The 13,325-nt window shown below is 36.4% G+C and overlaps 1 protein-coding gene across 17 annotated transcripts in view; it reads right to left on the minus strand.

The window, feature by feature from the left end:
* The window catches only part of DMD (dystrophin), a 2,220,167-nt gene that overhangs the window by 1,440,607 nt on the left and 766,235 nt on the right, over window positions 1-13,325 (minus strand). For all 17 annotated transcript variants that reach the window (XM_006724469.4, NM_000109.4, XM_011545467.2 and 14 more), the window contains 1 exon segment: window positions 5,874-6,053. In XM_006724469.4, the coding sequence (XP_006724532.1) occupies window positions 5,874-6,053 (180 nt within the window).

The raw sequence follows: 13,325 nt of genomic DNA on the forward strand, positions 1-13,325 counted from the left end.
CAGCACACATAATAAATCTCTCATCAGGATATAGATGATATAGAAGGTACACATAATTATATAATAATCATTTTCTCTTTTTGGGCATCCTTGAATGTAGGCACAAACATATACAGCATAAACATGAACTGCCATGTACAAGAAGAGGCAAATTCTGAGCATATGTATTTTATCTTAAAGAGGTGCTCACAGTTGAGAATGTTGCAAAAATTGTTGTTAGCAATATAGCAAAATATTCACAAAATGGGAATGAGATATTTGAACCTTAATAAGTCATACAACTTTCCTTATTCCTGAGAAAGAAGACAATTTATTCTACTAAAAATCCACAAAACTACAAAACCTTTAGACTCGCTTGAAAAAAAAAATATATATATATATGCTTACACCAAAGCACCTGGTATATACTACTTAATATAAATTACATATTAAATACAGTAATTACAATTTATGGCGTAATATGATAATTACAATTAGCATACCAAATTGTAAAGCATATGACTAATATACCCTTTCAACAGCACATGTGATTTCAGTCAAATGAGGAAAGTAATGCTTCAAATCACATACATTATATTTTAAAATATTAATTATAATAAATTTCTTACTATCACATTTATTTTTTTAAGTTCCAGGGTACACGTATTGGATGTGTAGGTTTGTTATGGAGGTAAATGTGTGCCACGGTGGTATGGTGCACCTACAGACCCATTAGGTAGATATTGAGCCCAGCATCCGTTAGCTATTTTTCCTGATGCTCTCCTCCTCTCCCAGCAACAGGCCCCAGTGTGTGTTGTTCTCTTCCCTGTGCCCATGTGTTCCCATTGTTCAGCTCCTACTTATAAGTGAGAACATGCAGTGTTTGGTTTTCTGTTCCCGCATTAGTTTGCTGAGAATAACAGCTTCCAGCTACATCCATGTCTCTGCAAAGGACATACTCTCATTCCTTTTTATGGCTGCATACTATTCCATGGTGTATATGTATCACATTTTCTTTATCCAGTCTATCATTGATGGGCATTTGGGTTGATTCTATGTCTTTGCTATTGTGAATAGTGCTGCAATTAACATACAAATGCATGTATCTTTATAATAGGATGATTTATATTCCTTTGGGTATATATCCAGTAACGGCCTTGCTGGGTATTTCTGGTTCTAGTTCTTTGAGGAACCACCACACTGTCTTCCACAATGGATAAACTAATTTACATTCCCACCAACAGTGTAAAAGCATTCCCATTTCTCTGAAACCATGCCAGCGTCTGTTGTATCTTGACTTTTTAAAAATCACCATTCTGTCTGGCGTGAGATGGTGTGCTGAGGCTAATATGGATGAATTGAGAGAAGTAGGCTTCAAAGGTGGATAATAACAAACTTCCCTGAGCTAGAGGAGAATGTTCTAACCCAATGCAAACAAGCTAACAACCACGATAAAACGTAACAGGAGCGGATAACCAGAATAACCAGTTTACAGAGGAACATGAATGACCTGATAGAGCTGAGAAACGCAATACGACAACTCCACAATGAAATCACATTGTCAATACCTGAATAGACCAAGCAGAGGAAAGAATCTCAGAGCTTGAAGACTATCTTGCTGAAATAAGACAGGCAGAAAAGATTAGAGAAAAAGAAAAGAATAAAAATGAATGTACAAAACGTCTGACAAATGTGGGATTATGTAAATTCTGAAGCAAAGACTGTTTGGGGAACCTGAAAGAGACGGGGAGAACGGAACCAAGTTGGAAATCACACTTCAGGATATCATCCAGGAGAACTTCTCCAATCTAGAAAGCCAGCCAAACATTCAAATTCAGGAAATACAAGATACTCACTGAGCAGAAGCCAGCCCAACATTCAAATTCAGGGAATGCAAGATACTGAGCAGACCAACCCCAACATACGTAATCATACAATTCTCCAGGTTTAAATGAAAGAAAAAATGTTAAGGACAGCCAGAGAGAAAGGCCAGGTTACCTACAAAGGGAAGCCCATCAGGGTAACAGCAGATCTCTCAGCAGAAACCCTATAAGCCAGTAGAGATTGGGGGCTAATATTCAACACCGTGAAAGAAAAGAATTTCCAAGGCAGAATTTCATATCCAGACAAAGTAAGCTTCATAAGTGAAGGAAGAATAAAATCTTTTCCAGACAAGCAAATGTTGATGGAATTCGTCACTATCGTATTTCATAATTATGATCAAGATAAAATATATATCGATCAGGGCCAAGGCAATTAGAAAAAACTGCACAAATTACAAGTATGTTTATAAAAAATTACAGGGAATCATGATCATTTGAGTTTTTAAAGAAGTCAATCCAGGGTATATTTGCCCTCTTTTCTCATTGTAAGCCTCCAGATAGCAAGAGTTATTATCTCTCCAACATTTAGAAAAAAAGTATTTTCTATCTTCTTAGGCTACCTTCTAATCAACTTAAATACCCTCAGCTTGTGTCCAGGTATTATTCAAGTCAAATCTGAGTTTGAAATGCAAGAGAGCAGTCCTCCTAGCTGATTATTTTTTCACGTTTTGATCTCTTGCCATGCAACTGCTTCAAAAGGTCAAAAATGCCTCAAAGCTCTGACCTGAACAGCAATCATACGCGCAAGCAGTGTTCTTTATATGAGTACAACTGGGTGCCTTGTCATCTCAATCACGATTTCCACACCCTGCCTCACAATAGGTTTTAACCATTATGAGAACTTTGCTCATTCTTTATACTAATTATTTAAAAGAATTTTTGAAACAATTGAGTATATCATGTGAGTAGTCATTAATGAAACTCATTTTTCTCCCACAATCATTATAGAAAATGTACATACAAGTGAGCTTTGTTCTTCAAAGTCACAACCTTACAGCTCATATTCTTGGAATTCTCCTTATGTAATTTTAATCAAGGTCAATTTAACATGGATAAAAGAAAATCAGTTGCTCTTATATGATACTATTTCGCTGTTGTCTCTGTTTACCTCCTTTTAATTTCTCTTTTCCTGAGTAGCTCCATTTCTACCTTCCTGTGAGCTCAAAAACAGCCAGCAAAGATTTGGATCAATCCCATGACAGCATAATTTTTGGAAAGGCAATGAGAGAAAACTGAAACATAAGCTTAAGAAAAACTCAAGCTTAGTGTTCTGGAAAACAACTTACATGATGTTAAGTCCTTTTATTTATTTCTAGCCCACAATAGGAGCGTGTAACTGTTTGAAAATAAAATTAAAAGGAGATAGTGGGCCGGGCGCGGTGACTTATGTCTGTAATCTCAGCACTTTGGGAGGCCGAAGTGGGAGGATCACAAGGTCAGGAGATCGAGACCACCCTGGCCAACATGGTGAAACCCCATCTCTACTAAAATTACAAAAAATTAGTGGGGTGTCATGGTAGGCACCTGTAGTCCCAGCTGCTACTTGGGAGGCTGAGGCAGGAGAACGGTGTGAACCCAGGAGGCAGAGCTTGCAGTGAGCTGAGATTGTGCCACTGCACTCCAGCCTGGGTGACACAGTGAGACTCCATCTCAAAAAAAAAAAAAAAAAAAAAAGCAGATAGAGAACCACAAAAAGCCCTCCAGACACACTGAACTACATGACTTACATATCAAACTCAACCTTTTTCCCCTCAAATGCTTTCTTGTCTATGCCTCCATTTTATCTTCATTGTATCCCTATGAGCAAGTGAAGAGATACATGCTGTAATGCATGTTGGACTTTATTTCATAAAGAACCATGCAAATCAAAACCAGTATTCTTTTATTATAGAATTATACAAGTTGGAAGACATCACGTCAATTGCCTAGGTGGTGGTCTCATAATTTCTAGGGAATTAAAAATAAGGCTTCAAATGCTTTTCTACCAATTGGAATAATCAAATCAGTAATATTTCGATGACATGTACAAACTTCATCAAAAAGTAGTCCCATTCCAAGGGAATGAGCATATTTATATAGTGTATTCCCAAGAAGCTCTCCCTTTTCACATTTCAGGGAGCATTGTGGAAAACCAGAATGTTGGGATTCACACACATATCACTGTCTATTTTCTTTAAACATTTATTTTAGGCTCAGGAGTACATATGAAGGTTTGTTACATAGGTAAATGTGTGTCACAGGGGTTTGCTTACCAATTATTTCATCACCCAGGTATTAAGCCCAGTATCCAATAGTCTTATTTACTGCTCATCTACTTCCTCCCACCCTCCCACCTCAAGTAGATCCCAGTGTATGTTGATCCCCTCTATGGTCTGCAGATTGTATCAAAGGCTTAGTAAAGATGTAGATTTTTAGGTCCTTATCACAGCTTATGGATGAGATTTTCTGAGCAAAATGTTTAGGAATATGCATTTTAATTAGCTCCTCAGGTGGCTACTATGCAGACTCAAGTTTGAGAACCACTCCATGCAATGCAAATGAACTAGAAGATGACCTACAGTTAACTGTTACAGCTCCCTAAACATGTCCCTTAAAAGGGATGCACGTCAAAATAACTTTCTTTATCAAATAATGGCAATCTTTCTTAACACGGCAACTGACCATTTTATGGCAGCAATAATCTGTGGAAGCAATGGGTACATATGGGAATACTCTCAGTGTTGGGTTAAAAAGTATCAAATTGACTAATGTCTCATGTATTTATTACATAAATACCAATGTATTGCAAAGAAGCCATGGGCAGATCACATAAAACAGGAGGAATCATAATATAGTACTAAAACTACTATTAGGTCAATTAATTGCTAAAGTATGTTTAATGGAAAACAAATGGAGTTTTTATTATGTAATGATTGTGTGGGAAATTATTACAATTTATATTCATATTTCTTCAAATTATAATTTTTTAACGTAAAATTGGATTAAAAGTAACATTGAACTGTGATTGAAAATCATATAGGCTGGTTTATTACGCTGTCTTAAATTGTATTCCTGGAGGCAATACTACAAACTTCATGTCTCCAAAAGGCATTTCCTAAGTGCTACTTATCAGATGTCAGGTCTCAAGAAAACAAATTCCATGTACTTGTCTCAATATAGAGGAAATATTTGCCTAAAATCTATTGAATATGGAAGTGTATGCCTGTGCATTGAGCTATGAATTTTGAGTAAAGTTATTCCTTATAATGCCAGGCTATGTGGCAGAATATGTTAAATACTATTATATATAATGTTTATATCTTGAATGACTACTCATTATTCTACCATCCAACTACATAAGACAAAAAGAGGTTCAACTTTTAACGATACCCCATTTTAGTGACTAAATCTTTAAAAATTATTATAATAAAACCACATACCCCAAATGTAGCTGAGATGTTTTCATAATCTACAGCCCGTATGTGTTAGTATAACTAAGCCACATTCATAATTTTATGAAATCAGCAGTCTATGGCAGAAAAGGTACAATAGTCAGATAATTAACTACACTAATAAAAAACTTTCCAAGAAATCAAAAGACCTGAACCCTAGTTCTCCTACCACTAACTTCTCTTGAAAAATTTACTTTTCTTCCCTAAGTTTCATTTTTCTCAAGAGTAAAACGGAGTTGGCTAATGTTCCTCGTGGTTCTAGCAATCTCTGATTTGGGGTTAGACTGTGATTATACAGTTCCCAGCATTTTGTTCGCCTGCTCTAAGTCACTCAGTTCCCCGTTACTATTGGGCTGGAAGAAATTCACTCTAGGGCAGTAACAAGTTCAGTTAATTAGCACTCTACCTCACCACCATTCTCCAACAACAAGACAGGCAAAAGAATCATGTTTTTATTTAACTAAACACAGGGCAAAAACTAATCTGGTTGCTTCTTTTGTAGGGTTATAATGTCACTCTCTTAATGCAGGTTTAAAAAATCTCTGAGATAGTCTGTAGCATGATAATTGGTATCACTAACCTGTGCTGTACTCTTTTCAAGTTTTTGGACTAAATTATCCCAACACCGGGCAAAGTTATCCAGCCATGCTTCCGTCTTCTGGGTCACTGACTTATTCTTCAGTGTTGAAAGAAGATCTTGTTTGAGTGAATACAGTTTGCCCATGGATTGCTTTTTCTTTTCTAGATCCGCTTTTAAAACCTGTTAAAACAAGAAAGATCACAGAATAAGCCTGGGTTGCATTCCATACACCACTATAGTTCAATCTGCTTTTGCGTGTATTTGCTCATTTGCATAGATAAGAAAATATTTCAATCGTGCCCGCAAAGGATCAAAAGTTCAGAAAAATAGAGGTAGAAAGTTATAATCTATCTAATTATCCCAAGAAGTTTGAAGAGAAAAGAAGAGAAAAGAAACTCAAACGTAGAATAAAGACCTACTAGAGGTAATTAAGAGCTACCTTGAAATATTTGAAGAAAATCCAAGTGAAAAGGTAATATTGCTTCAAAAGGCAAAACAGAGATCAACATGTGGAAATTAGAAGGCACGGATCTTGGATTTCCCCTTAATTCCTGACGGAATTCAAACGAAAACTGACAATCAGGTACCAGGAGTACTGAAGAAAAGCTAGTGAGCTGAGAAAATGAGAATGGCTAAGGAAACTTGCCATTCTGAAATGCTGTGATTATTTGGATAAAATTACAATATTATTGTTTCCACAGTTTTAACATTCGGTTCATTATTTGGAGATAAAATCTCATTATGTGATTTACTGACCATAAAATTTTTGTAGCATCCATTAATCAATTAACATCTGGTTATTTGAGTAATTATTTTTTAAAACTAATTGTAGAGCCCATTAAGTAAAAGAACTAAGTCGCTGGGCATGACATAAATGCTTCAGCATCTCTTTTCAGAGTTTATAAATACTTATGTGTCTTATGAAGCAATTTTTATACCATTTATATTTCCAAAGTTCCTGTGAGCTGTGGAGGGTTACAAACTCCCTTTGGTTGATTTGAAAGGAATAAGTGGTTTATGTGAAATCAGTAAATCAGGGCAGTTTTTCTTTTACTTGACTCAGTAACTTTGCCTGATACACAGACAAATTCAATTCCTGGGTACTGAACATTACTCCCTGACTTAATCTGTAAACAAAGGAGAAGAAGGAAGAGAAATAAAGGAGAAAATTATCTTACAGCCACTTAACAACCCCATATTTGGCAGCAAATACAATGAATGTAAACTAAATCGCGATACCTGTCTTTCCGAAACAAATGTAAGTTTATTTAAGAACTAACATACCACAGAGCAAATTGTCATGACACAAATGCACCAATTGCCCATGAAGCAAAGTGCCCCAAACCTAGAGCAGTCAATACACCTTCCTGAAAAGGACAATCTAAGTAGCCCATTTTGGCATGGCACCTGCATTGATAGCTCTGAACTGCAGAATGCTCTAGTGGCTCCTTCAATTAGTTTGTCTTTTACTCAGAATCTGCTTCACCTGGAGTATGTTATAGTTCAGTCTTCATGCCATTTTTAAGGGGAAACAAAGCAAGATTTAAGTTTCATCTCTAATTTTTCCTTAACAATAAGTTCAGTATTTTTCTAAGTTTGAAAGAATGCAATAGACCAAAATACAAATTAAGATATTATACACTGAATTCAAATCAAAATAAAACTCACGGTGTGGGGGTTTAGCAATAGGTAGGTGGTTTTTCTTTTTTGTTTTGAGTTGGAGTCTAACTCTGTCGCCCAGGCTGGAGTGCAGTGGCATGATCTCTGCTCACTGCAGCCTCTGTCTCCCAGGTTCAAGCAATTCTCCTGTCAGCCTCACGAGTAGCTGGTATTATAGGCACATGCCACTAAGCCCAGCTAATTTTTAAATTTTTAGAAGAGACAGGAGTCTCAACATGTTGGCCTGGCTGGTCTCAATCTCCTGACCTCAAGTGATCCACCCGCCTTGGCCTCCCAAAGTGCTGGGATTACAGGCATGAGCCACCATACCCAGCCCAATAGATAGGTTTTGCATATTCATTTTGTTTAATTCACTTGTTAGTTTTCCATTAAATTTAAGTGAATATTTGCATTAGTACTAGAACAAAGGTTGATGCTACCTGTCCCAAGCTGAGAGCCATATTTGAATTTCAATGTATATTCCTCCAGTTATAGTGTCATTTTTTTTCTTTACTATGGAAAGAGGCACAATATACACAAAGACACAAATCTAAAAATAAAAAAAAAATCTAAGTACAATCCTCTTTGACTTACTTACTCAGAATGTTAGAAACTATTTTAAATAGCCATATGTGTAAGGCTGAATGGTCTACCCATTATTTAAACAAAATATGTAATGATTTGGAAACATGTCAGAAGAGGAGTGTGAGAATTATGTTTAAAGAAGAGGATTGCAATAAAAACCTATGAGTAACCTCATGGTACCTAAACAAATGAAAATAAGCCTCCTGTTTTATTATTAAGCCACATGAAGAAACATTTGGTAAGCATTACAAAAATGAAAGTGAAAGTCACCATTAAAAATAAAATTAGAGGTGGTGGCTCACGCCTATAATCTCAGCACTTTGGGAGGCTGAGGCGGGCGGATCACGAGGTCAGGAGTTCCAGATCAGCCTGGCCAACATAGTGAAACCTCGTCTGTACTAAAAATACAATAATTAGCTGGGAATGTTGGTGCATGCCTGTGGTCCCAGCGACTCAGGAAGCTGAGGCAAGGAATCGCTGGAACCAGGGAGGCAGAGGTTGCCCTGAGCCGAGATCACACCACTGCACTCCAGCCTGGGCAACAGAGCAAGACTCCATCTCAAGAAAAAAAAAAAAATCCAATTAGGAAAAAAGTGCACTCAAGGTAAAGTAAAATCAATGTTATAATTACATTGTGTGATTATTGAATAAATGAATTTTTATATGTCTGTATGACAAAAACACTGAACCCAGACTTATACCTAGTAAATTTTAGATATGAGTATCAAAAATGATGATGGCAGATTAGTTGTTTGGTCTCAGTTTCTCTCTCTTTTTCTGTCTTTCAGTAGTCATCTCCCAGTTCCAGAACTCCCCCAGGATTATTAACTGAGGGAGGAAAAGAAAGAAAATCCATGATGGGGCCAGATACATTAGATCATAGAATTCATTAGAATTACCTTGTCCTGTCTATCCATTGATGCTGATTCTTTTAAGCTTAGGTCTTACATGTGCATATTAAATAACTATGATTTGTTACTAATTATTGCATAAAATATGTATTTCTACATATCAATAATTAACCATAGGTCTATGAGTGCCAGAGACCCATAGAGCTCTAGAAAATTCAGGTGGCAAAAGGAAGATCTAGAGAATGTGTACAAGGCAAAGGCCAGCTGGGATAGTAAAAGAATAAACAGACTTTATTTTTATAGAAGCCAGGAATGTAGACCTACCTCCAAGGTAGGGAGGAAGGTACAGTCAATAAATCAGACTGGGTCAGTAGTGGATATGGAGAAGAGACAGATAAGCTGTTCAAGATGATTTGAAGTGAAAAGATAATGTATCCTTACAAAAGGCCCAGGAAACCTTCACCTCACTCTCATCAGGAATACGCATAAGAGAATAATGCCAAGACAATTTCTCCTATATTGGCAAAATTGAGTTTTCCACCTATATTATGTGTAGTTACTTATCTACATGTAAGATGTGCTCCAATTCATTCTAATCACCAGTTGTACTTTGGGAGGTTGATCTATTACAGAGGTTCTCATCTTGAAAGAACATCAGAATTACCTGAAAGGCTTGTTAGAATGCAGATGACTAGGCTCCACTTCCAGAGTTTCTAAATCAGTAGGTCTGAAGATGGCCTAACAATGTGCATTCCTAACAAATTTCCTTGATACTGATGCTGCCGGTCGGGGGAACACATTTTGAGAAGCATTGATCCTGTCTGAATTAATTATTTGAGGGCCATCCCAGGAGTTGAGGTAAAGGTAGCAAGTCAAACAGGAACTTGCTCAGTTACCATGAGCACTTCATCCATGTCCTTTGATCCCACAGCCATTTGAGAATATCTTCAATTCCTAAGTACTTCTGTAGCCCTTATATACCATAATCTCTTGGATCACCCTGCTTCCCCAGAGCTGTCCTTCCCCAGCAAACGCCAACAGTCCCCACAGCAGAAATACATTTACTCAGGAACAGGTTTCTTCTTGACTTGGATCTTCCCACGATAATTTACGTGATTCTACAAGTCTTATAATTCACCTCATAAAAGCTACTGTTTCTTCTTTCCCTTCATTTTTATCCCTGATGCCAAATCAGTTTAAAACTTAAATCAGTTTTGATTATAAAAAATAATAGATCTACATGATTTGGATATGAATCCCAAAGATCTAGAGCAAATTAAATGTCATAATCCCCACCTCCCACCTCAATGGCAAGCAGGACACAATCCCATGGGTTATCAGTGATACTATTTTGAAACAAATTACACTTATTGTAAAGAGAAGAGAGTTTAGCACAGTGTATCTATACCTAGACATGTAGTGAAAACTGGTGACAGATGGTACCTGTTTTGGGTCTCAGATTGTGACATATTTTAATGAACATTAAATTCTTATTCACTGCCTGAGTCAGCAAAGGAATTTTACCTCAAATTCTAGACCAGCTGTCAGGTTTTGTTAATTGGCTTAAACTATCAAATGACAAGACCTATAGAAAACATATTTTCTCTTTGTTCACAAGCAAGGTGACATAACACAAATTTTAATCCTATTGGAAAATTATTGACTTTCTTAAAAGAGCATTTTTATGGCCCTGAGGCTAGCCAAGATTTCTGCTCACAAAAATGTTAACATAGAGGCACATTATTGTTAGAAATGACAGTTCTCAGTTGCAGTTATTTTTTCCAAGGAATCAACTGATATGAGGACTACTGAAATAGATTGAAAGGCCTGGACCTGAGTCTGGATGTCTTAGTGTTCATTTTAAGTCTGATACTAATGTTGTAGGATACAGATCCTGTGTTTTTTCTTGATCTCGATTTTCTCTTGGAAACAAACTGAGTAGATGGTCCTAATGAACTTTACATGTGTAATGAGATTGAAGAAACACTAGATGAGATGCAAAATCTCATCTAGCTTTAACATATTTGGATTTTGTCAGTTTGTGGCTTCCTAAGAACAACTTTCTTGATTGGTAAATCTAGTCAACAATATATGCAGGAACTTTGACTAGATATTAAGATTTGGAATTTATCATCATGTAAAATAACTGTACTATTCTGGCATGTGGTACTTTCCAAAGATGGCTGTAAAATATCCTCATCTCAGATGCTTTGCTATAACTTGACCTTGGTGTTTCTCCATGAGGAAATGAAATCTAATTCCCTTTTCCTTGAATCTGGGCAGGCTTGTGACTTTTTCAGCACACAGAATATGACTGACCATCACCATTATGATTGACCGTCTGAAGCACATGATTCTGTATTTAACTAGCAATATATCTTCGCTCCTAATCAGAGGGCATGACTGCATTTTGATAATCAGTGGTCACTCACTTATTTACTGAAAGGATTCACATTTTGCCTGAGAAGAACAATGTTTGTAAGGAATATTCTGCTTTAAGGAGATGTAATCCATGCATCCATTCCTCTAGATATGATAGAATCCCTCATGAATTTATCCTCTCCTCTCTGTGGCATGTGACAGTGTGTACCACTTCCTACTTTTTTGAAATCTTTATTCTCCTCACTTTTGTGATACCACTTTCCCCTTGTGGTATCTGCTCAATCTTTTGGTCAACATCTTATCCTCTGCCTACTCCTTGATTGTAGACATTCCTCCCTGAAATCTATTCGTTTCACTTAATGTGTCACTCTACACAATCCCTCAGAAGCATTTTGATTGCTTCTGAATCAATAACTAGTCATGAACCATTTTCTGAGATTCTAGTTGTGTAAACCAACTGATTAATGGAAAGGATTTTTAACTTGGATGTCTCAAAGACATTTTACACGGAATATATCCAAATCTGAAATAATTATCATTTTTGTCATTCCAGCAATTCCTCTTCTATTCTCCTGTTAGGGCTAATAACCCTCCTAGGAACCCAGTCACCCAAATGAAATGTCTAGGAACCATTTCAAACTTCTGCCTCTTATCACAAGTTTCATTCATCACATCTTAACATTCTAATGTTTCTCTTCTTATCTTAATGCCCAATGCTACTTAGTTCAGGTCTTCTGATTAGTCCTCGTACCATCAAACATCTTCCTACCAAAAAGAATTACAAAAATGCAAATATGATTCTTTTGCAAACTCTCAATGGCTCCCCATCAGCTGCAGGCCAAAACTACAAATACAGCTGATATTTTTGCACTCGTGTTTTCAAACATATACAGGTTACTTTTCTGAACTCTATTTTCGGCAGTCACATCACTTAATAAAGTCCATATTCTTTGAGCAATAATTTCTTATCAATAATAAGCTAGCTTGTAATAACAAGTAATACATAAGTGAATCTATTTTAAATTAAAAGACCAATGAGGGTTAGCATTTATGGAGCAAAAAAAATGTATGAAACAAATAAATAGCTGGTAAAATGGTACGTATTTAAAATGAGTGGAAAAATTTACTTAAGTTTAGAAATTATTGCATTATTATGAAGTACAATGCAATAATAAAGGTGAAATTATGGAACACTACTTACAACCATTTTGTTTTATAAAAGTTCATATCAAATGAACATTTAATCAAATCTATCAAAAATTTTAAGAAATCATAAAGTAGAATATGTCACGTGAAAAATTAAACTCATAGTATCAGACCGGCCTCTTTTACTAGAAATGATAAAATTCACAGAGTAAGAGAAACTTTAGAGTTTTTTTTTTTTTTTTTAAATCTTGGAAATTCCTGCTGAAACCAAATGCTTCAATGAAGTCTTTTCTGAAATCCATTTATTGCCAAAGAAATCTCATTCTCAAAACACTCGAGGTATTTATAATCAATGTCATTTGATAGGCTTTAATTTTTTTTTGCTTGAAAAACTAGGTGATATTGTTTGGATCTCTGTTCTCCAAATCTCATGTTGAAATGTGATTCCCAGCATTGGAGGTAGGGCCTGGTGGGAGGTGATTGGCTCATGAGGGCGGATGTCTCATGAATGGCTTAGCACAATCCCTTTCATGATGAGTCAGTTCCCATTCAGTTAGTTCACATGAAATCTGGTTGTTTAAAAGAGTCTGGGACCTTCCTCTTATCTCTTTTGTTTCCACTCTTGCAATGTGATATACACTGGCTCCCCTTCTCCTTCTGCCATGATTGTAAGCTTCCTGAGGCACTTACCAGGAGCAGATGCTGGTGTCATGCTTCTTGTACAGCCTGCAGAACCATGAGCCAGTTAAACCTCTTTATTTCATAAGTTACCCAGTCCCAGTCTCAGGTACCCCTTTATAATAAACTAAGGTTAAACTCCATCAATGTC

Source organism: Homo sapiens, chromosome X, assembly GCF_000001405.40.
Source record: "Homo sapiens chromosome X, GRCh38.p14 Primary Assembly".
NCBI classification, from domain to species: Eukaryota; Metazoa; Chordata; class Mammalia; order Primates; family Hominidae; genus Homo; species Homo sapiens.